The sequence below is a fragment of the Homo sapiens genome, chromosome 15 (assembly GCF_000001405.40).
Source record: "Homo sapiens chromosome 15, GRCh38.p14 Primary Assembly".
NCBI classification, from domain to species: Eukaryota; Metazoa; Chordata; class Mammalia; order Primates; family Hominidae; genus Homo; species Homo sapiens.
This window is the reverse complement of record NC_000015.10, coordinates 33132256-33157705: the sequence shown is the minus strand read 5'-3', so window position 1 is coordinate 33157705 and position 25450 is coordinate 33132256. Positions and strand designations below refer to the sequence as shown.

Below are 25450 nucleotides of genomic sequence, written 5' to 3'. Positions count from 1 at the left end.
TGAGCGTTAAAATAGCAAGATGTGAGACATTGTTAAGAAATTATGTAACACCAAGTTAACAAAAAAACAAAAAACAGAAAACAACAAAAAAAACTCCTCTATTCAAATTAGATGGAAAACCAGTTTGTTAGTAGAAGGCAGTAGGTGAAGAGCAACATGACCTATGAAGCAATGTAGTGAGAGAGATCTGGGTTTGAAACTTGCATATTCTGAGCCATATTCCCTTAGACAAATTCCTTTATCTCTGAATTTCAGTTTCCTCATCTGTAAAATGGAGATGTACTGATTCCATGAGATAACAAAATGAAAATATAAGTGTATATGTGCTCAGTATATACAAATTCCCTCTCTTAGGGAATAGAATACGCAGTCATATTCCTATTTGAAATTACAGCATAAACTGTGACTTTGAACAGATTCTGAATTTTTTTTTTTTTTTTTTGAGATGGAGTCTCACTCTGTCACCAGGCTGGAGTGCAGTGGCGCGATGTCAGCTCACTGCAACCTTGGCCTCCTGGGTTCAAGGGATTCTCGTGCCTCGGCCTCCTGAGTAGCTAGGATTATAGGCATGCACCACCACACACAGCTAATTTTTGTATTTTTAGTAGAGACGGGGTTTACCATGTTGGCCAGGCTGGTGTCGATCTCCTGACCTGGTGATCTGCCCACCTCGGCCTCCCAAAGTGCTGGGATTACAGGCGTGAGCCACCATACCCAGCCAATTCTGAAAATTTTTAACACTCCTCCCCCAACATCACACACTACTCCTAATCCATGGGAATTGAGGAGATGAGAACAGCTAGAGGAAAATGATGCTTGAAGAGAGAGGAGAGCATTCTATTTTTCCAAAACTCAGCATAGCTCATCTGCTGCTTCCCTTCAGTTTGTCTGAGAATTCATTAATTGAACTCCTAATGCTTAGTGCTCAGCGGATATTGACAGCTTTGCAATTGCTTTTATTACTGATTATTATAAATTACACAATAAGAGACTACCTCCTAAGTGAGTTCTTGGACACATGCAGCGAGTTTTTACCAATAATTATTAAGTATCCCTACACATGTGCATCTTTAGAAAATGCTAGCAATAAGCATTTTAGAAAAGTTTTAAAAATACGGCCGGGAGCAGTGGCTCACACCTATAATCCCAGCACTCTGAGAAGCTGAAGTGGGAGGATCGCTTGAGTCCAAGATTTCCAGACCACCCTGGGAAACATGGCAAAAGGCTGTTTCTACAAAAAAAAAAAATACAAAAAAACTAGCTGGGTGGTGGTGGCACGTGCCTGTAGTCCCACCTATTCGGGAGGCTGAGGCAGGAGGATCACTTGAGCCTAGGATGTTGAGACGGCAGTGAGCCATGTTTGCACCACTGTACTCCAGCCTAAGCGACAGAGCAAGAACCCATCTAAAAAAAAAAAAAAAAAAAAAAAAAACTACTTGAGTGAGAACAGCCCCATATACAATTGTGAAAGAGGCAAGGCCTCTCCTGGTCTCCTGGCATTCTGGTTTGACCAGATATCTGCAATTTTCATAACTGTCATTTTATCACTCTCTTCCTCAAGGAGTTACTTTTACCAGACTCTTCCTCCTTTCTCTCTTCCTTCACTCAAAATATACTTTTATGTAGCTTTTTTGCTATTTAGAAGCAGTTAGAAAAAACCTGAGGAAAATAATTCACTAAAGATATCAAGGGCTAATGAATAGTTATTGTGTTATCATTCCCAGGGTGTGGGCGGTGCTTGTTTTAAGCAAGGAAGGCTTGAAGACTGGGCAATAGCTTAAGAAACTAGAAATATAGAGTTTGTGTGTGGGGATGGTAGCCACAGAGACATTTCTGAGGTCCCTCATATCACACAAGGAAGCAGCCACCTTCACTAATTATGTGACATTTCAGCCGTTTCTGTGGTGACATCATTGAAAAATCTGTACAGGGCCAGCCGTTCCTTATAGATTTTTTGCTGTTCCTCTGTCATTCCATTTGGCTTCGAATAGACAACAGGAAGGAAAAAAGAAGGCAATACAACAACAAAAAATAAATAAAAAAGAAAACAGCAAAACTTGATTAAGACTTGAGTTATTTAAATTTTAAACTTTTACATTGAAATTTTTACTGTTGACACCAAATTTGGGGCCTAAGATCTTTCCTCACATTGTGTTTTAAGTTGAATCGATAATTTGAGCTCAGATCTTGAAGGTGGTTTTTAGAGGGTAAAAAGGCTTGATCGATCTACCTTTGCAAAGTAATATTCCAAATATGAGTTATGAAAATGGCTGTGTTTTCTAAGGATCTCAAAGCCCCCTAGATAAGGACTTCTGGGAGTTATGATAGCTCTATTTTACAGAAGAACATAAACCAAGGTCTAGAGAAGTTGAGAGACCTGATCCAGGCTGCACAGTGAGTCCCCATGTAGGGAAAGGGAACTTTTGTCCTGGGGGTGAAATGAGAGGACTTTCCCATCTCTCAGTTATACAAAAGTTCTACTGATCAGGAGTAGGGTGGGAGTGAGGAAGAGATTGAAATCTGGCTGTTGTCTGATTCCTTGAGTTGTTGAGGTCAGCCACAGAGGAAGGATAAGTCATGGTTATGCTTTGATTTTATGTTGGTGTGTGATTTATGCACTCTGTTAGACAAGCTGCTTTCTTCCCCTGTTCCTCTAACAGGCAGTCTCATTGCTGGAGATGACTGTCAGCTGCTTTCTCTGCATAGCCACCATCACATGCCTCACCACTGGAGCCTGGGAAGCCTGACCACAAACCGGCATCTCCAAGGCATGAATAATTAGGTAGGCATAATGGAAGGCACTCATTGTACCCTCCAATTGCATAAGCCCATTACGGAACTCTGCTACATCAGCTTCTGTCTTCCAAAGGGGGAAGTCAGAGGATTTTCATACAAGGGCACTGTAACTCTAGACAGATCCAATAAAGGTTTTCATAACTGCTACCAAGTCAGGGAGGAGTCAGACATCATCAGCCTCAGCCAGGAGCCGGACGAACATCCAGGCGACATATTTTTCAAGCAGACTCCCACGAAAGACATTCTAACTGAGCTGTACAAACTCACAACAGAGAGGGAGAGACTGCTAACCAATCTCCTGAGCTCAGACCACATCCTGGGGATCACGATGGGGAACCAGGAGGGGAAGCTGCAAGAGCTGTCCGTGAGCCTGGCCCCCGAGGATGACTGTTTCCAGAGTGCTGGTGACTGGCAGGGAGAGCTCCCCGTGGGCCCTCTCAATAAGAGGAGCACCCACGGGAACAAAAAGCCTCGGAGGTCTAGTGGAAGGAGAGAGAGCTTTGGGGCCCTTCCACAGAAGAGGACCAAAAGAAAAGGGCGTGGAGGCCGAGAATCAGCTCCTCTGATGGGCAAGGACAAGATCTGTTCCAGCCACTCCCTTCCTCTTTCTAGAACAAGGCCTAACCTTTGGGTACTAGAGGAGAAAGGAAATCTGCTCCCGAATGGGGCACTTGCCTGCTCCCTGCAGAGGAGAGAGAGCTGCCCCCCAGATATTCCCAAGACGCCAGACACAGACCTTGGCTTTGGGAGCTTTGAGACGGCTTTCAAGGACACTGGGCTTGGAAGAGAAGTGCTGCCCCCTGACTGCAGCTCCACAGAGGCAGGAGGGGATGGCATTCGGAGGCCGCCGAGCGGGCTGGAGCATCAGCAAACAGGTTTGTCTGAAAGTCACCAGGACCCTGAGAAGCATCCAGAGGCAGAAAAGGATGAGATGGAGAAGCCGGCTAAGCGGACTTGCAAGCAGAAACCTGTCTCCAAAGTGGTGGCCAAAGTTCAGGACCTGTCCTCCCAGGTACAAAGAGTAGTTAAAACGCATTCTAAGGGTAAGGAGACGATTGCCATTCGCCCAGCAGCCCACGCTGAGTTTGTACCCAAAGCCGACTTGCTCACCCTCCCGGGAGCTGAGGCTGGGGCTCATGGCTCCAGGCGGCAGGGCAAGGAGCGGCAAGGGGATAGGTCATCGCAGTCGCCAGCCGGGGAAACAGCCTCCATTTCTAGTGTGTCGGCCAGTGCCGAGGGGGCCGTGAACAAGGTCCCCCTGAAGGTGATAGAGAGTGAGAAGTTAGATGAAGCCCCTGAGGGGAAAAGACTGGGCTTCCCTGTCCACACGAGTGTCCCTCACACTCGCCCAGAAACGAGAAACAAGAGGAGAGCCGGGTTGCCCCTTGGTGGCCACAAGTCCTTGTTTCTGGATCTGCCCCACAAAGTAGGTCCTGACTCCTCACAACCCAGAGGTGATAAGAAGAAGCCATCCCCACCAGCACCGGCAGCTCTTGGCAAGGTGTTTAATAATTCAGCCTCGCAGTCCAGCACACACAAACAGACGTCACCTGTTCCCTCGCCTCTGTCTCCAAGGCTCCCCAGCCCTCAGCAGCATCACAGGATCCTCCGGCTCCCTGCATTGCCTGGTGAGAGGGAAGCTGCTCTTAATGACTCTCCTTGTAGAAAGAGCCGTGTCTTCTCTGGGTGCGTCTCTGCTGACACCTTGGAGCCACCATCCTCTGCAAAGGTCACGGAGACCAAAGGAGCCAGCCCGGCCTTCCTCAGAGCAGGCCAACCTCGGTTGGTGCCTGGGGAAACTTTGGAAAAGAGCTTGGGGCCAGGGAAGACCACAGCTGAGCCCCAGCACCAGTCACCTCCAGGTTAGTCTCTGTTTAAGATGCTTTGAATCTATTCTTGGCTGATTGGGGAACTATCAGTCTGCCTGTGCTACTTAGAAACTGACTGATTAACAATGGACCAAAATTCCTAGGCCTATTACTTCACTTTGTAGCAAGAAAACGGGGAGTGGAACAGCGGGGTGTGGAGATGATTAGGATGGTTTTGACCTAGTGGTTCAGAGGTATAGTTGCTTCCAGGACTTTGTGAATGTCTTTTATTTCTTTCTTTTTTTTTTTTTTTGGCATCCTCTAAAGTTACTTCTGTGGTTGCGTAACAGTGACTCTCAAAGGAAAACAGGAACAGGCAGAGAGAAGTGGTAACTTGTCCCTGCCTTTGATGGTAACACTGGGTAATTGGCCTCTTGACCTAAATTCTGCCATTCATGCTGCTGGAGTCATTCTAGGGATTCTCTAAGCAGAAGTGCAAAAGTACGCTGTGTCTTCACTTATGTCTGTAGTTAGAGGTTTTTGTTTGTTTGTTTTTAGTAATCATCTCGATAAGTGCTATTATTTTATGACAAAAACTTTTGTGTTTTAACAGAACAGGAAGGAATTCAGTCTAATTTGAAGAAACTTGGTTCAAAGTTTTCTTTTTTTACAGTTTTTAAATTTCCCAAATAAGCACAAATTGACTTTATTCCGTAGGTATCTTTTACTTATGGGTTGTTACTGTTACTGGTATAGCATCATTTCTTATGTAAAAGGTGCTAAAGAGCTCATTTGACTTACATACTTAATGTGATTTAAAATGTTACATGAAAATAATTTTGTGGATTCAATAGGACCAAAAAAGACTGTGTAAAAGAAGCACTGCTCTGGTATTCATTACATTTTCTAGGCTGTTGTGGCCAGAATCTCAGGGTTTTATATGCCATTGTGCAGGTTATGTGTTCTTTTTCAGAGCTCCTCTAACAGCATGTGGGCAATGCTTTTTCTAGGGAATAGCTCCTAATATGATAGACAGTCTCTTACAGGTTAGAGCAAACATCAAGTGCAATTTTTGAGATAAAAAATATCTATCTAGGGAAGAGGAGCTTCAAAGCTTTTTGGTCATTTTGAACTTGTGAAATTTTATAAATCTCTCTAGATCATTGATCCAGGGGGTAGAGCTTTAAAAATGTGGTAAATGCTTTTCATCTTGTTTTTTGCAATAAATCTTGTTTTGATAAGATTTTCTACTTTCATAACCAATATGCTTCACCAGGAAAGTCACAGAATCGTAGATTTTATATCATGTATTGCAGAACCCTAGTGATGAAAATTCTTTCTCCTGTCGGATGCTGAGGACTTAGAAACACTTGACAAGGAAACTCTCTGAGATTATTAAGAGAGAGATTTCTGGAGGCAAGAGTGTAGAATATCTTAGCTGCCTTAACTCCAAAAACTGCAGAAACTGTGCATTAAATACATTGCTCTTTAGTAAATCCTCTTTTTCCTCAATGTAGGATTATCTTATTATTTTGCCCTTTTTCTATTTGAAAAATATCATAAAAGCTCCAGTGTATCTGGATCAAGGCAGGCACACAGAGCACATTCAGTTTCTGTTGGAGACTGACCGTGAGCCCACTGAGTGACAAGGTGAATGGATGATCACATGTTCCTTTGGCCTCTCCGTGCAATCACTCAACATTCCCTTTACTTTGGCCTCAGCCTTCCATTGGGATCTTCAGCAGCACTTTCAGGAACCAGTCATAAGAACTGTAAGCATCTCCTGTGCTTCTAACCTTATAAAAGAAGAAGCTGGAAAAGGGAAGGAGAGTAGAAGTGGGTAAGAGCTTTTTTTGATATGGGTAACTTCTCTACTGTGGAGACTTCCTATAGGGCCTCCAGCCATTACCTCCTATTGGCCCTACTTTGAAAGGCATGAGGGAGGGAGTTCCCCAGATAGTACCTTTGATTTGTATCCTCTGTCTAGTTCCCTTTTCTCTCTTGATTTTCCCTTTCCTGTCGCTGTGAGTCCTCTTTATATTCTGAACCCTTCAGTGACTCCCTGCAGCTGGGAAGCCCATACAGGGAGAAGTTTCCTGCTTCCAGCTACCTTTGTCTTTCACTTCATTTCTCTTCCCACCTAAACCCAGAAGAGGGCTCAGAGAGTTGCCAGCAGTCCAGAAAGAGGGGTGAATAATTCATTTACCATCACACTACAGTGTCCCTTTATCTGAACCCAACTCCCACCTTTCTCCCAGGTTAGCTATTAACCAGATTAAGTTTATGGTCTGTGGACATTTATTTCCTGTGGAAATAACATCTAGGTATTTTTATTGAAGTGATGTCATTAAGATTATTGAAAGCTCTCATTAACTGCTTAAGAAAGAGATTAAGTCTGGCAAAAGTAATCAGATCTGTTTCCAGTTGGAAGACTCTTCAATGTTAGAGGCAAGTAGTAATTCCCAGGAACCAGTGAAACCCGCTTATCCTTGTTACAAGACTAAGCAGTTAAAGCTGACATTACCATTCATGCAGGATGTAGCATAAGGATGTCACAGAGGCCAGCGATGCACCTTCTGTTGGGTTTGTAATTTCTTAACTTCTCATTTCAAGGATGATGCATGGGAATCTCCATTATCACCACATAGTGGTGATAAAATAGAGAATATACTAACAAGAACTGGTAGTCAGGTTTTTCTTCTCCTGCCTCCTCCCACCACCAACCTGGAGATTGGTTTTATAGTATTTTATTTGGCGGGTGGAGACTGATGTGGAATGTTCCCAAGCCTTTGTGGAGTATGGTCTTCCCCCAAACCTTGAGGAACTCTAGTTGTGCTAGCCTGCAAAGCAGTGTCCTTGGAGCTTGGTGCTAGGATTCCTTTCTGTTTTGCTTGCTTTCATTTACCTTTGATTCAAAGTAAACCCTTTTAGTGCCAGAAGAATCACAGGGAGCTTGGCTCACCATACTTGGGAAATGCCCAATCTTTAGTATGCTCTTGAGTAATCCTGTGGTTGTTTTCCTTTGACTGAAGTCACTGATGTGGTGATGGAAGCATATGCTCCAGGCATAGTTCTTCCTGATATTGAGAACTGAGAATCTCTTGATCAATTCTTGTGCCCATGAAAATATGTAATTAATGTCAACTTATTAAGAGTTAAGAGGCATACATGAAATAAATTTTATTTACATGTGTAAACCCCTAATACTACTGTCAAAGCTTTGATTGTCTCTGTGGATATACATTATGGGAAGTAAATATAAACTCTTCCCATATTAATATTAAGGTTTGATGCAATTCCAATAAAATTGTAAAGAAGCGTCACGACATTAATAGACATATGCAGCCATTTAAGGTTACTACAGAAAGTATGTAGTACAAAGAAAATTATCTAAAATTAATGGAGGGAAAATAGGACTCAAAAATTGCATCAGCCATATTCTACCCATATAAAACAAATACAGGAATTAAGTTGACATAAAGTATGTTGCTATGCACTTTTGAGAAAGTAATAGGATCCCAATTAAAACTCTGTGTAACTATGACCTGGCAATCCCACTTTTAGGAATTTAGCTTACATAAATATATGTACCAATAAGAAATTAGGCATAAGGATGTTTATTGCAGCATTGTCTGTAGTGGCAAAAAATAGCTAGAAAAAATTTGAATGTTCATCATTAGAGAAATGGTTAAATAAATGATTGTGCATTTATGCTCTGTAATATTATGAGGCTGTTCAGAGTACTGATCTAGATTTGTATCTATTTGAGTTATAAAATAATACATAAAATGCTCTCAGGTTTTGTAAAACAACTATCACCCCTCCCAATATATAAATATATATGTTTGGTACAGGTTCGAATATCATGGAGATGAGTGTGGAAGAACACTGGCCAGGCTGTTAACATTCCTTATTGAGGGTCAAGGCAGTGGAGGTGGGGAATGAAGTGAAAGAGAAAGATGCGGAAAAATTGGAGAAAGGCATTAATTTTATTTCTCTTTACATATTTTTATATTGTTTCTCTGGTTGTAGTGAATATGTTACTTTTATGATTCTTCAAGAGTGATTTAACTACTTTTATTTTTTAAGAAAAAAACAAATTCACCACCTAGAGTGCTTGTGTGTGGGGTCGGGGGTGGGGAGTACAATTATAGCTAAAGTACACTTTTCTATGTTTTCCCCATGTCCTTTGAGGCAAGAATTTTAGCATTGAGAATATATCATTGTTACAAGGGGAAATGTAGGTTGTTAGAGACCTGTAAAAGCCATGCTCAAAAAGCACTAGTCCAGGAGGTAGGGATAGGATGAGGATAGAGCATAATCCAGAAACCAACGGAAGAAAGCAATTCAGAGAGGCCCCTGGATTACTCACAGTCCTGAGAGGAAACAGATACCTGCAAGGCTGAAGGCGCAAGGGAAGGCGTGCGTGGTCACTGGAGCCCAGACAGGGGAGATTAATGGAGGGGACCCTCTGTCAGGAACAGTGGTTTCTGGTAGAGACACCCAGCGGAGAGGAAGCTGTGGGGATAAATATCCTGGCCTCACCCTCCTCTGGACCACTTCCTGTAAACCTCCTCTAACTGAACCAACCAGAAAGCAGAGTGTAAAGGAGCCAAGCCAGGGGCTGTGGTCTACGGGGTCAGCCTTCCAGGGCCAAGAGCAGGTTGAGAAAAATGGGGAGTGGATCTGGAGGAGCCAATGGGAGTCTGGATGAGGGGGATGAATTATGCCATAAAGAACAGGAAAATACTGTTGCTTCTAACCCTCTTTGAGGGAGTTACTTCGGTAGAATGACGTCTATGAGTAGATTATAAGAGGCTGAAGGTAGGTGATAAGGAAGTGGAAGTAGTGGCTACAGTTTTTTCCCTCCGATTTATTAGTGAATGGATGTGAAAGATGGGATGGAATTTTAAATGAGCAACAGGGGAAAGAAGAATGTGTGTTTATGTGGTATATGGGTATATGTTTTGTTATAGAACAGTGGTAATCTTAATACTTAAATGATTATTACAGTGTTTTATTTCTTTCTCATGTGACCTTTCTCCTCTAAATTTGATTAGGTTGACCATCTTTTTATTGTTAAAAGTTCATACAAAGAGAAAGTGAATTAGAAGTCCTGGTAATATGATTTTTAGTCCATGGATTCAGAAACAATATTTTTTTTTTCAAAAAACAACACACAAAGCTCTTAAAATTTAACAGTGTTTGAGATCCCATTGTGCCTGCTTGCTTTTTGTGTAAAGCATAAAGAGAATTTTAAAGAGTGCCTTTTCCAATGATCTCAAATAAGAATAGCTCATTGGCATGTGAAATACGAAATAAATGTTCTACTAATGAACAATTTGTATTTTAAGGTCAGTTTCTGTATAAAATAAATGAGTATTTTTCTCATTTGTTTTGCTTTTTAAAGGGGAATGTGATTTAAAGGCCAGGACCATGGCCAGAATCTGATGTTTTAAAATCTCAAGCCAGCTCTATGCCTGTGCATTTTTCCCCAGATTAAGATTGAATTATGCTTTGAGGATAACACCTTCCACTGGATTGCTTTTCACTTGTCTCTATTTTTGGATTCAGAGTACAAGATATAAAGCAAGGGTGGCAGTCTGTGGCCTTTGGCTATATGCACAGCCTTCCGAAATAATTCCAAAGATGTGTAGAAATAGCAGAATAACACCATGATTAAAAGTAACAGCCACTGATAAATGTAAAAGAGAAAACTATTTTTAAAATAAATAGATATTAAATTTTAGAGAATAATTCATTGGATATATTTGTTAACTCAACACTCTGCCTCATGTCATTATTGGTTGGGACATGAGAAAAAGACAACCTTTTCGGGTTGTAATTGGATTACAAGTATTATATCAAACTGATAAAGCAGAGTACTGAATATTGAAAGCGTATGTTTTGTTTTATTTCTTTTTTTTTTTTTTTTTGAGACGGAGTCTCGCTCTTGTTTCCCAGGCTAGAGTACAGTGGCGTGATCTTGGCTCACTGCAACCTCCGCCTCCCAGGTTCAAGGAATTCTCCTTCCTCAGCCTCCCAGCTAGCTGGGATTACAGGTGTGCATCTGGCTAGTTTTTGTATTTTTAGTAGGGATGGGATTTCACCACGTTGGCCAGGCTCGTCTTGAACTCCTGACCTCGTGATCTGCCCGCCTCGACCTTCCAAAGTTCTGGGATTACAGGGGTGAGCCACGGCCTGTTTTGTTTTATTTCTTAGGGAATCCTGAGAAAGCACTTTTTGAAAACAGCAGATACCACTGCGGCCCCACCCCCTTCCTCTTGATAGCTGTGAGCAGATAAATGACTGTGGTGCCGATCTCACTGTATTTGCTTTCTGATCACTTACAGGGATAGTGACTTCTGTTAGATAATTTTGAAATTGGAATCAGACCATATCTAATGTATCTTTGTGGCCCCTGGGCTGTGATATTAGGTCATACCATCCCCTTGGAGTTCCTCTGTGTGCCCCGGCAGCTCAGCCTCCTATCATGGCATGTTCTGGAGTTTCTTCCCTCTCATAGAAGGTTCTAGGAATTTTTTTTTCACAGTCATGGATTGTTCCAGTACATTGAAACAAGGCTCAGAGCCTTATAGGAAAGAACTTGAAATCAGGTCAGAATTGGAATTCAGAGATGTATGGGATACAGACGGATTTGAGGGGTCCTGGAACGATGTTGGATAATAGGGAGGAACAACAAACTACTGAAGGAAAAGTACCAAGAGAGAACACTTCTGGGCCAGAATGTCTTGGACAAACATTTCCTCATCCTCCTGGGAGGGCCCCTACACTTGAGGAAGAAGGAGCTTTGGCAAAAAGAAATGAAAGAACTTTATCATCAGAAGCCCAACAGTTTTGCAGTATTGAAGAGCTGTTCAAGAGAGGTAGGGACTTCCTCTCTTGAGGACTGGGTTTCACGCTAAGCAAGTGAGTGAGGACTTCAAACGCTGAGATTCAGATTTTTGTATTAGTAATTCATGGTATAGTCCCAGTTACTCGGGAGGCTGAAGCCCGAGAATCTCTTGATCCCGGGAGAAGTATGTTACAGTGAGCCGAGATTGCACCACTGAACTCCAGCCTGGGTGACAAAGAGAGACTCCATTTCAAAAAAAAAAAAAAAATTCATGGTAATACGGTTTTATTCACAATAAAGTCACAAATCAGTTCATTCAGATTTCACGTATTTTTTCTAAAACGTTCAAGTCTTTAGTTTCAGTTTTGTGTTTAGAGGGAGAACTCAGAAGTGCTCCTGTGACTGAGTAAAGCTGTTGGTTTCCAGGTGAGCCCAGAGGAATTGTGGAGAGTAAATAAGGTGTGCAGCTTGGGCCTCAGCTATGTTCTCCCTAGGATTCAGACTTGTCTGGGCATGTCTGGATAATTTGACAGTCATGCCCGTCCAGAGTCTTCTGCTTGAGGGCTGGGATGATCATCACAGGACAAAGCTCATCTTAAGGAAAGCAAGAATTTGAGCCACATCCGAGGGTAGCGGCTACCACGGGGAGGGACAACACTGAAAATAGCATGACGTATGTTCTCCAGATTTTCTGTTGCGCCAGCCCCATGGATTCATGCCTGGAGATAGGGAGAGAGGACTGCCATAAAAAAAGCAGTGTGAAAATTTAAAGAGTAATGTTACTAAAATTTCTTTAGGACATTGAAAGCAAATTCTGCATAACAGGATGTACAGACTTGGGGAAGCAGTGTCCCTATTGGAGGTGCTATGGAAGCACGGTGTGAAAGGGCATAATGAACTAGATTTTATCCAGTGTGGTTTTATTGATGGTAGAATGAATGAGATTTTGTCTTATCCCAAGGAGAAGCGGGAGAGGTAGGCAGTTGTGCCTTGGGCAACACATCTGGCACCTTTGACTACAGCAGCCCTGGTGCCCATTTTGGAAGCATCAAGAGGCACCTTGTGCAGCCGAAGCAAGAGATGAAAGCAGTGATGAGGAGGAAGGATTACATCCACGAGCACACATGATTTCTAGAATGATTCAGGGGAAATTGGTGTGGGGGAGAGGGAAGCACCAAAATCGGTAGAGTCAGTGAAATACCGATTTTTTAGCTTGTTATTACTCCCCTGATTGCAGTTGCTGGAAGGAATTATGTCAAATTTCATAGCGGTTTTTTGAGAATCAAATGAAATAATATCAATGAAAATAGTTCATAAAGCACTTTTTAAAATTAGCTTTATTATAATTACACATCATTGCTGGTTCATAGGGGCAGAAAGGATTTTAAAATCCCACTCCTTTTGGTATTTTCCAATGATGAAATGATGCTACAAAGAATAGCTCACAATGAGTTGTTTATTCGATGTGGATTTGCTGATTTGTTCTTGATTAAAGCTGCTACATTTGCTGCTTGTTTTTTAAGGCACTTACTTATATAGCATCTTTATCGATATTTTATTGTTTTGTGTAGGTTAATATTGGATTTCTCTTTTTTTTTTTTTTTTTTTCAGACGGAGTCTAGCTCTGTCGCCCAGGCTGGAGTGCAGTGGCGCAATCTCGGCTCACTGCAAGTTCCGCCTCCCGGGTTCATGCCATTCTCCTGCCTCAGCCTCCCGAGTAGCCTGGGACTACAGGCACCTGCCACCACGCCCGGCTAATTTTTTGTATTTTTACTGGAGATGGGGGTTTCACCGTGTTAGCCAGGATGGTCTTGATCTCCTGACCTCATGATCCGCCCACCTCGGCCTCCCAAAGTGCTGGGATTACAGGAGTGAGCCACCATGCCCGGCCTAATATTGGATTTCTACCTAATTTGCATTAATAAAAAAACTTGAGGGCAGAGATCGTATAGGATACCTCTGAGGTACTCCCCACAGTGTCTAGCTTCAAACTGGCTCACTCGGTAGCCTTTGAATTAAATCAGGGTTTTAAAATTTTCTAAATTAAATCAAGTCAGAAAGGAATTGGAATGGTATGTCTGACTACTAATGTCATTTCAGTGTGAAATCTTAAAGGATGAAAGAGCAAAAGAAAAGAAAAACAAAGGTCCCCTTTCTTCCTCCCAATCATTTCTGAATCACGTGAAGTCACATTTTCTCTCTTCAAAGTGTTCTCAATTTCTGCATCTAATAGTAATTTTGTCCCTACTGATTTCCATATCATATTTCTATCAAGGCGATAGGTTTTGGACCTCAAGACATATTATCTGCCTCTCATCTGTATTTTTATAATATTAACTCAGCGATTCTTCTGTGATAAAGAACTTAATCTTTAGCTCTTATCAAGCTTTTGAATGTAGGACCTTATCTTTTACTTTGGATGCATGCTTTGCAGTTTCATAAACAGTAAATTAATAGGTACTGATTCTTTTAAGAAAATTATGATTGTTGACTTTAATTAAAAACAACCTTCCAACTTACAGTGATAAGGCAGTGGCTGCAAGCGACAAATTGTCCTTAGGAGTAATCAGACAGGATGATTGGGAATTCCTGCAGCTGACATGCCACCCAGCAGAGTAAAATGGGTTTGCCTTGCTTTGTTCTTGGTGTCCCATCTTCATTTGGAACCTGTTTCTGCTAGTGATAGAACACTTCAAAATGGAAACAGATGTCTCTTTATTTTTGGTTTTTAAAAAAATCTCTCCTCAAAGATAGCAATGGTATCACATTCATCATTGTATACCTGGGTCAGTTACTGAAACTGACCAATGACATATACTCAGTAAGTGTTCTATTGAATGAATGAATAAATGGATGGATTAATGATGAGATAACTTAGTCTGAAAACTGGTAACAGGGACACATTTTTCACATTTTTCCTATGTTAAACAATGAAACTGGTTTCATGTCATATCATGTGATTATTATCAATGTTAGATGCTGTTACCCTATTTTGCTAGAAAATGCTTTTTTTATTTTTAACTAACCTTGAAACTATTCATCTCTGCATGGGTTTGGGAATCTAAATGTACTCAGAGATGTGAGTAGAATTAAATGGAACTTGGGTACTCAAAGTCAAACCTTTGGGGAACAAAGAAACTGATCTTTTAAATGGAATAACTTTACAACATATGATTGGCTTTACCAGAACAGACAGCTTTACATTTTTAAATGAGATTTAACTTCATTGTAAAATCCAGTTACTGAGGGGCAGTCAAGTGATCAAACTTGAAACAGAAACCAGAGGCGGTTTAATGTTTCATGTACTTCACTGGTCACAGATTAACCATGTTGCATTATCCATGATCAAAGGACAGCACGTCTGAACCAAGGTACATTTTATAGCCCAACACATTGGTGAACTAGAAGGCCAGGCAGGGACCTGTAACTCTTGTAGGCTGTGATTCAGGGAGTTCTGCAAGGCTCACCAGCTGGGTGCCTAATGCCCACCATGGAAGTTTCCCTTCTGTGTAAGCACTGTTGCTAGAAAACTTGTGTATAATGCAAATGTAAGTTGAGGTCATGTGATTGGTTTCCAAAAGCTATGTACAAAACTCACTGTAAGTCATTATATTAATATGCTGAAAAAATTCCTGCTATTAATATTACCTAGCAGAGCAAGATCTTTACAGATGGGTTATGGGATGGGTTTCTGAGAGTGGAAGTAGAAGTCAGGGTATCATTGGCATGCCACAAGCCTCATCGCTGCTCTCTGCCCTCATGGGATTTTCTTTTTAAAAGCTTTTTGGCATCCTGTATCAAATTTAGAGAAAAATTGAAACAGCGAGAGGTGTTAGGTGACAGAATCACAGCTTGTTAAATTTTCCTAAGTTAAATGGAACAAGATTAAACTCAAGAGGATAATGGAAAAATCCTGCATTGAGATTAAACTATCCACTTACAGGTAAAGGACATCAGGGACCTCAGTTTCTGTTTTAGCTGACAGCATATTGATTTTGAGCCAGTTGGGTAATGTATAGCTGTTGAGAACAAAAAGTCAGGCTACATTAGAAATAGATATTCATATCAAGGGAGAAAATGTGCTTCTGTACTTTATAGAGTCTGATGAATCTGGAGTTGTTGGTATAGTTATAGGTACATATTTGAAGGGCATTATTGACAGATTAGATTACGTGTTGGTGACCAGAATGGAAACATATCTGAAAATTATTTCATGGGGAAAAGAGTTATACTAAACAGCGTAGCCCATGTATCACAATGTCAAAGTGATACATGAGCAAGTTGGTATAGTGTATGCTGTGTGCGCCACCCAGATCCCCCTTGCAAGACTAACACCCTGTTCTCTCCGCTGCTGGGAGCATTGCCAGCCAAAGGCTTACAGCTGAGTGCCTCCCCAGGAACTGCCCTCTCCAAATGGGAGCTACCTCTGCCATTTTGAGGTTCCATCTGAAGTGTCATTTGCAGAGGGCAGTTCCTGGGGAGGTACTCAGCTGCAAGGGGGGAGGTACTCCCAAGATTACACCTTCTTCTCAAGCGCAGGCCTGACCAATGACTTATCTGTGTGTGAGAGTACGGAAGCTCAGCACCATTGCCTTTTGTAGGGCAGTTCTGAAGGGCCATCCCAGTCTCCATGCTCCCTACATTATCACCTGAGGCCTCTGTCAAAATTGCATCTTCTCCAATCCTGCTTCCCTCACTTTCCCATAGGTATTGCTCCAAAGAGCACTCTCCACTAAACCTTCTGCATGGAATCTCTTTTCAGGGTCTATTTTCCAGGGGATCCTACCCGTGATGGGTGACGTTATGTTACCCATAACAGCTCCCATTATTTGTAATGGGAGAGGATAAATTATTTGATGAATGATGCTAGGACAATTAGTTATCCCTATGGGGAAAAAAAACAGTTGGATGTACCTTATGCCATGCACAAAAATCTATTTCAGGTGGATTTTGAACTGAAATGTGAAAAGGAAAACTTAACAGCTTTTAGAAGAAAATATGGAAGGATTAGGAAAGGGTTTCTTAAAGGCACAAAACATAATGAAGATTACTGGTGAATTTGTCTATATTTAAATAATATAAAATTAAAATTAAAGGAAAAGCATTTGACTATGACAGATGATATCATTTAACAAAGTAAGAAGAAAAGCTGGGAGGAGATATTTGTAGCTATTATGACTGATAATTAGCATCCAACATTTGTAAAGAAATCATATCAATTAATAAAAGAAAGGCAAACTACCCAGGAGGAAAAAAATGAGCAAAGGAGATAGTCAATTCACTTATAAGAAAGTTTGAATGATGAATTCAGTATATAAGAATATACTTAGCCTCACAAGTAATTAGGAATATGACAATTAAAATAAGATCCTAGTTTATACATATTAGATTGGAAAATATTTTTTCAAATTTATATTCTACCTTTCTTTTCTTCCCCTTCCTTTTGCTTCCTTCCTTTACTTCTGTGCCTTTGCACATGCTGTTTCCACGATAAACTTCTCATCTGTCAAGACCTAGCACACATGTCATTTTTTCCATAAAGCTCTCCAACTTCTCTGGTTAGAGTTAAGCATTTCGTTTTTTATATTCCAGATATTGCTTTGTGCTTCTTCCATCTTAAAGCACTTTACATTGTTGTAATTATTTGTTTACATGTGAGTCTGACACTAGATCACCAGCTCCTGGGTGGCAGGAATCATATGTTTCTCTGTGTGCACGTGGCCTTGATCGTAGTGTCTGATACCTGAGTCGTGAATCAACATCGGATGGGGGAATCTGTCGTTCCTTGCCCCAGTGGCTCTTCCATTAGAGCAGACCCCTTCAAAACAGGATCTGAACTTCAGATGCTCTGTAATGGTTGCTTTGTTTTCTTTTTTGATGTACCACTAAAATTAGTTCAAGGGTAACTTTATTTTTGAAGAGTTCTTAATTGTTCATCACCTGCAGTGCAGCATATGGTTGAATGTGTTTCCCGCTCTCAATTTAATTAAAGGGGATAAACGGATAAGCTGTGTGTGTGTGTGTGTGTGTGTGTGTGTGTGTGTGTGTGTGTTTAACCATAGGTGGAAAGTTGCATAGGGACAAAATAAATTTTATTTGTCTTTGTTGTTAATTGCTTTTCTTTCAGGGATATTGCTGCTTAGTGGCATCATCAGGATTTATTTTTAATCCTAAAAAAGTGAAATAAATATACTTTGCCTAGAGAGAGAAAATATGTTAATATATTTTAAAAAATAAAATATCTCTCCCTCAGGAAATTTAAATTTTTGGAAACATACACCCTAAAGACATTTGAAATTTTTCATATCTTTTTTAAAAAAGTCAGTGGCAGTTCTACACACTCCACATAGGAGTATATGATTTAGTTGGTATTTGTCGCCTCTTAAAATGATAATTAAATAGTAAAGATGAAAAGGATCCCTTGGCTCTGTGTCTTCATGTTATAGATGATTAAAATGAGGTTCCATCTGAAGTACTGTAACTGTCTATTGGTGGAATATGCCGGATCTTCTGACTTGAATTTTGATGCTCTCCTTTCTTCCACATTCTGTTCCTACTACCAATTTAAAGGGAACACGAAGCTTATTTGGATCTTTAGTGACATTGAGTTTCAATAACAACAGCTACTTAGGTATTTATTTGTTTATTTATTTAGAGACAGAAGTCTCGCTCTGTCGCCCTGGCTGGAGTGCAGTGGCGTGATCTCAGCTCACTGCAACCTCCACCTCCCGGATTCAAGTGATTCTCCTGCCTCAGCCTCCTGAGTAGTTGGGATTATAGGTGTGTCTACACCGGCTAATTTTTTGTATTTTTAGTAGAGACGGGGTTTCACTGTGTTAGCCTGGATAGTCTGGATCTCCTGACCTTGTGATCCGCCCGCCTCGGCCTCCCAAAGTGCTGAGATTACAGGCGTGCGCCACCGTGCCCGGCCAACAACAGCTATTTAGGTATTTATTTTGGAACCCTTGAAACTTCCTCAATAAGCAATTGCCTGGTGGCTTCATAAACTTTATAATAGATTTTCATTAGCACCTGAATTCAAGGGGATACACAACTCCATTTCAGTGCAATGTAATTATTAGACTCATAGTCAATATGGATTAAGAGGTGAAGTTCTCGAAAATACATTAAACGTCTACTTTTTCATTAATTAAGTTATGATAGTCTGTTACGTGTCATAATCTTACATAATTATTAAAATATCATTAGTAATATCCCCAGACTGGAAAATTGTGGGCTTGGTATGGCCAGTGTGCCTCTCATCCTCTCCTAGTCCTCCATTCACCAGAAGAGATTAGACGAACCTACTCATCATTACTTCATGAAGAACTTCTCCAGGGTCTTGAAATACAAGGAGATTTTGAGGTTAGGTCAGAGATAGTGAAGGGCCAGAGCAGACTTTGGAAGGATGCTGCTCCTAGCCTCTGCCCTGAACCCTTTGTTTTCCTCTCCCACTACTATGGCCACCATCTCTTCATGCTGGGAGGGACATAGCATGATGATGTGAACCGATATCTGAGCCAGATTGGAGCCCTAAATCATAGCTCTCATACTTAGAAGAACCCTGTGTTTTAGAATAATCAGAGCTTTGTTTCAAAGCTGTGTACCTGGTTTAATGAAGACAGCAATAGTATCCTCACTTCCAGGAGGAGTCAGGTTATCTAGTAACCCATGAAAATACAAAGTTTGCTAGGATAATTCAAGCCTCTGTATGCCCACATTGAGAGGTTAGACAAGAGGAAGGTGGCAGTATCTCGCTGGGAACGTTGAGGGACGTGCCAGACTGTCCTTGGGGAGAGATGTCAGAGGAGGAGATGATGGGAATATAGGGACACCTGCATAGGCCACATTGCATTAGCAAAAGGGAAGAAAAATGAAACTGAATGAAGCTAGTGAGGATAAGGAGCAACAGCTGCAGAGCCCAGGAGCCAAGAGTCGGTGATACATTTCACCTACTCATCTTTAGGTTACTCGATAGAAATCTGATTCCCTCAAGTACAGGCAGTCAATGATAGTGTTCCTGCTGACAGAGCATTTCCTGGAGGCCTTTTCCAATGTTTATTTTATCTGCTCATGTGCCTTCATCACTTTCGTTGTCCTGTGTCATAGCAGGCAGTTGTGCTTATGGATACTGGTTAACAAATAGCAGTAACAGCAACAGCAGTCCTTTATTCTTGTGTACCAGATACTGACTTGGACAGTTGACAAATATTGTATTGAAGCCAAACCATAATCTACACAATAGTTATTATTATCTCCATCTTACAGAGGAAGCAATGGAAAGTCAGAGAAGTGAAGTACGTGGCCCATGTCACCCAGCTAATAAGAGGCAGAACCCAGAGTCACACCAGGTCTGGCCGACTGCAGCTGCAGTCCCTCATCTCTTCATGACTGTGCCTTGTAACAGGGGATGAGTTGAAAACCTGGAACACAGCAGAAGGGCAATTTGTTGGGCAAGCTGTATGGTGGTGGGTTCTTTAAGAAACCGCAGTACCTGATGCTCCCCTCTTAGCTCTGATGTCTGTAATCATGTAGAGAAGCCATACCCCAGTGTAAAGAAATGTGCAAGCATTTTACATAGTATGTTGAAAGGAAATACATTGTCCGGTGGTGGTAGGAAAAGTAATTTCTTGTATGGAATCTGAATAAAAATCAGAATCCTCTCCTGGGAAGAAATGTGGACACTTCTTTGGTGATATCATTAAACATTATCCTCTGAGCTCATTAATCTGGGGCTCTACTGATCAGTCATGTCTTACTCTTTGGGATTAGTTTGGAATCATACAGATTTCCTTTTTCCTCTTAGAAATATATATAGCTACCCTTCTCATTCAAGGTAGGCAGAGGGAACTCTGGAATGCTTCTAAAACTCCTACCCTGGCCTCTTAAGTAGAAGAGGCAAATGTAGAAGAGGTGCTTTGCTACTGAGTGCAGGCAACAGTGAAGGTCCCATGGCAACAGGGAATGGGGAAAGGCAAGGGTGGCATGGGCTGAAAGCCAGCTGTGAATAAGAACCACCAATTTCAGTGACATCTGTGGGTACACACTTCATTGCTTACCCAGAACTTTTACATACATTGTTATCAGATTCTCTTAAAAATCCCTGTTTGGGGAGGGTATGTTTTTCTGTCTTTTTTTTTTTTTTTTTTTTTTTTTTTGAGACGGGGTCTTGCTCTGTCGCCCAGGCTGGAGTGCAGTGTTGTGATTTTGGCTCACTGCAACCTCTGCCTCCCGGGTTCAAGCGATTCTTCTGCTTCAGCCTCCCAGGTAGCTGGGACTACAGGCTCCCGCCACCACGCCTGGCTAACTTTTGTATTTTTAGTAGAGACAGGGTTTCACCATGTTGGCCAGGCTGGTTTCGAACTCCTGATCTCAGGTGATCTGCCTGCGTTGGCCTCCCAAAGTGCTGGGATTACAGGCGTGAGCCACCATGCCTGGCATGTTTCTGTCTACTTTAAAAAATTATTTATTTGGTTATGTTCTACCTCATTCCAGAAATCATTTAAGGGACTTGCATTCAATATAGCAGATAAAAATACCTTTAAAACAGGTGATAGAAATTAAAGAGAAAACATTGTTTTTAGGGTTATATTGACCAGCACAAATTTATCTTGACTGATGACACATTTCAGAGCCAAACCCTGTAGAGCCATTACCACGATCCTTGCTTCTGTTTTTAGGAGGAAATAACTAAAACATGGTTCATCAAAAAAAACCACTTGCTTAGACATTTTCACCCTGAAATCTGTTATAAAATTAGGAAGTGGGAGTTTAAGAACTATTCCATAGTCCTATTTGAAGCTCTTCCCAAACACGTCTGTCTCTGTGTTTATGGTTATACGTCTTTCTTGTCTACGTGGGTAGACTGTATATATGCATAAAAATGTGTGTTTTTCATATTCTCCCATGAAATTTAAACCTCTCCAAGACATATACTTTTGTGCAATTTTTAACAGTCCTGTCCCTGAAGCAGATAATGACATCTCTCTTTGAGTGAGGATGGAGCTAAGACTCAGAGAGGGTACCTTGCTAAGTAAACAGCAGAGGGACAACATTGATGTTAAATCCTGTGTCCTCCCTTTGTACCACATTGTGATGTCATGGGGATAATTTCAGTGGCCATGAAGCCATCTGCTCTGAACTTAAGTAGTGAACACAGCTCCATCATTCTGATTATTTATATTTATATCTACAAAAGCATTCAAAACATTTTTTATTCAACAAATATTTATTGAATCCCTATCATATATTCATCATTGTTCTAAGTATAGTAGACAGAGCAGTAGGCAAAACAGAAAAAAGCAAAGCTAATTCCTGTCCTCATGGAGCTCACACTCATTCTAGAAGGGTGAAGACCAAAACATAATCAGCCAATTGTATACTCTATGTACAGCAGGGCATGTGGGTGATGGGAAAAGACATTCCATGGTTTTTTTGGTTCATAGAATAGAACAGTTAGTATTGGTACGCAATGCACGATAAGAATTCTATCCAGTGTTAAGTAGTATATTTTAAGAACATTGCATAACCTTGGGGAAGTAACCTAACTGATTCCACTAGCATTCCAACAGAGAGAGTCCCATCTTACACAGTCCTTGCCAGCCAAGCTCTCGGTTTCTCCAGCTTCACTAACCTCTGGCACGAGGCCTCCTTGTTCCTGAGGGAACTGCTTTTCTCATATTTCAGAAGGACAGTGCATACTTGTGTCAAGCTGAAAGGGATCTTTCCTACTTGATGCCAGCGAGAAGCAGTGCCAGGGAAGACAGACTGACAGAGCAGACATTCTCCTCCCTAACTGGGTTATTCTGTGCTGTGCTGTGCAGTGGCTTATCTTATTTTGAGATCTTCCTGCTGTTGTCCAGTTTGTACCAACATTGCAAAATCAATATTCTCTTTATTTCTAAGGGCACATTTTTACAAAACAGGACTTCAGAAAAAGGGTGAGATGATAAAGACTCTCAAAAGGTTACACTGGCCTTTTGAAAAAATAATTTATGTAGAGAACCTTCTAGCGCAAGATCCTCAAATAGTTGTATATTTAACATCTAAAGTGCAAGTCAAACATTTTGTGTGAATTTTGACACTTAAAAAACATTCCTTGGGAGACCAAAAAAAGCGGGGCTTTGGAAGATAATATGAAGGGAGAAACTCAAAAAGCAAAATATTTCCCATGTATAGGCTACCTTTATTTTAGCTGTGAAACATTGTAACTCAAAATGTTTTCCTACTTATTTATTTATTTTTGAGACGGAGTCTCACTCTGTCACCCAGGCTGGAGTGCAGTGGCACGATCTTGGCTCACTGCAACCTCCACCTTCCAGGTTCAAGCGATTCTCCTGCTTCAGCCTCTTGAGTAGCTGGGATTACAGGCATAAGCCACCACGCCTGGCTAAATTTTGTACTTTTAGTAGAGATGGGGTTTTGCCATGTTCGCCAGGCTGGTCTTGAACATCTGACCTCAGGTAATCTGCCCACCTTGGCCTCCCAAAGTGCTGGGATTATAGGCGTGAGCCACCGCACCTGGCCTTCCATTTTTAAATTTTTCAGAAAAAGTGAGATAGCTGAATGTCAGAGAGCTTAAGCAACTTGTAGGATCATAGTTCTTTTCTTTCTTCTCCTTTCGGTGCTCTCCACTTGACTTTGTGGCCCACAGCCCAAACGTTGGTTGTGAGGCTACCCCAATCGACTACTGTTTCCCCTAATGTCTAGCGGATCTAGAACTCCCATAGTGCAGCAGCCAGGTGCAAGGTGAGGTGATGAGGCAGCTAGAGAACTTGTTTTGAAACTGCATTTACATGCCAAACACACACTTTTTATTTAGATGGTTGTTCACTGGGTAATTTGGGGTGAGGTGAGGTGGAACTGTTACCTCAGCATCCTCCCCCACAACTGCCTCCTGAGACATCCCTGGGCCATCCAGTGGCATCCTTGCCACAGTTTTGTCTCTTTATTTAATTGTTATGTTATTTTCTATAATCCCACTTAAAATTGTAAATTGGCTGGGTGTAGTGGCTCACACTTGTAATCCCAGCTCTTTAAGAGGCCGAGACAGGAAGATCACTTGAGCCCAGGAGTTTGAGACCAGCCCGACCAGCATGGCAAAACCCTATCTCTACAGAAAATACAAAAAATTAGCTGGGCATGTGTTGTGTGCCTGTAGTCCCAGCTACTTGGGAGACTGAGGTGGGAGATCACCTGAGGGAGTTCAAGGCTGCAGTGAGCGATGACTGTGCCACTGCACTCCAGCCTGGGAGAGTGAGACCTTTCCTCAAAATAAATAAATAAAAAATAAAATGAGATGTAGAATTAATTATCTAATTTTGTAATTTATTAGGTCTACTTATCATTTTATAGATGGCTGGCATGGCTTATAAAAGCTTTGTGGTTTGATCTTAGTATCCTGGACTAATGTTTCATCTATAGCACAGGTTGGAAGTCGGCACACCTAATTGTGCTTTTCTGAACTCTGAGCAAATAGTTTGATATATTTGCCCTTAGTTACATTTATTATAAAACGGGTAGAAACGTTAATGTTCCTTCCATTGTCCCAAAGATGTATCAACATGCCCCTGTGGCTTTAGGATCCTTTGAAGAAAGCATTCATACTTACAGTTATCATTAGCCACAATTACAGAAACTGTGGGGTTGAGAAGGTCATCTAGCCTCATCTCTATTTCTAAGCCAGAGTTCCAGAGAGTGACTTTCCTTAGGTCAAGTAGCTAATGGGCACCAGAGCCAGAATTAGGAAACAGGTCTCTAGCACTCCAGTTAATGCTCTTTCTTCTACAGTTTCTATGGCCCTGTTCGTACTCTTTGGCCCAGCCATTTACAGAGAACCATAGATCTGTGTTCATATTGTGAGAGGTTCCTTAGAGACCAGAAGACTGATCTCTGAGAAGCTCAGGGACTGTGTCTTGCTCAGAGTCGCAGAGGCTGTAGGTGCTGGAACTGGGACTAGAGACCAAGTCCCTGACTCCCAGCGCACTGTTCTTTCAACCACACACTCTCCTTCTTTGTTGATGGCTGTGCCTTGGGAGGGTTCTAACTCATAACCTAAAGATCCCCATGAACTCAGTTGCATAATCCCCTCTTCCTTGTGAGTTAACTGTTGAGGGACACACAGTTCTATGTAGTGATGGTGCCTGATGTGGGAGGCAAAGAGATGCAGTGCTTGGCCCCCTATCCCTGTTATAAGTCTGTGACTTGGGGCACTTCTGTAGGCCTGGGTTTTACAAAGCGAGGGCAGTTAATTAGGCATTCCTTTCTGTTCCAGAATTCTGTGGTCCTTTCCCAGGCATGTATGTTTCTTCATGTTTTGTCCAGTAGAGGGGGGTGTGTGCTCACAGACTAACAACCCCTCTGGACTTCTCCAGGTTGGATTATTGTGGAGACATCTTGAAGATGTGGTCAAAGAGGTACAGGTCCAGGCAGGCATGTGCATGGGAGGAGCTAGAGACAGTGATGGAAGAGTTCAAGTGGCTGTGCTGTCTGAAATTACAAAAGGAAATTAAAGGTGTTCCTAGGAAACAAATCACCAAGGCCCCCGAAGTTCTTTTAGGTTTATGTCTCACCAAGAAGAATAATAGGCTGGAAAGCTGCAGGTTTGGATGTTCCTGTTGCAATTCTTCCCTCCGCTCTTAGGTGTGGTGAGTATCCTGGGTATAATACATGCATATAATATTAATACTGCAAACGACCTGGCACTTTTCTGTGACTTACAGAGCTCTAAATCAGCTCTGGTCTGAGGCTCCTTTTCCAAATGACATGATGTGGGCTACATTGGAAAGAAATATAGTATTCCTTACAGGAGCCAGTTGCACACAGGCAGCTTCTTTATGCCTGAAGCCTACGTGCTGAGTTCTGAGAAAGACTAGCTGATTCTTTCATCTTGAAAGTGATAGACTACAGTAGTACAAGAGAGCGGGAATGAGAAGTGTGGTTATAGAGAAGCTGAAGCTGTTGAGTAGTTTTGGAGAAGTGCTGATTTATT

At 41.6% G+C, this 25450-nt stretch overlaps 1 protein-coding gene across 11 annotated transcripts in view, besides 1 other annotated feature; it reads left to right on the top strand.

Annotated features, from left to right (window-relative positions):
- FMN1 (formin 1) overlaps positions 1-25450 on the top strand; it is a 429171-nt gene that overhangs the window by 37009 nt on the left and 366712 nt on the right. For 7 of the 11 annotated variants that reach the window (NM_001277313.2, XM_011521504.4, XM_047432436.1 and 4 more), the window contains one exon: positions 2661-4658. The exons of 1 other annotated variant lie outside the window; for it this stretch is intronic. In NM_001277313.2, the coding sequence (NP_001264242.1) occupies positions 2792-4658 (1867 nt within the window). In that variant the 5' untranslated portion in view covers positions 2661-2791. Of the gene's footprint in view, positions 1-2660; positions 4659-4918; positions 7923-25450 lie in introns of those variants that run through there. 3 more of the 11 variants (NM_001277314.2, XM_047432440.1, XM_017022134.3) reach the window with 3 other exon arrangements.
- Positions 11187-12386: an enhancer, noted in NCBI's record as "MED14-independent group 3 enhancer chr15:33437521-33438720 (GRCh37/hg19 assembly coordinates)". NCBI's record gives its function as "activates an origin of replication core promoter dependent on BRD2, BRD4, P300/CBP and CDK7 cofactors, and independent of MED14, by STARR-seq in HCT116 cells {active_cell/tissue: HCT116}" and the evidence as "EXISTENCE:reporter gene assay evidence [ECO:0000049][PMID:35650434]".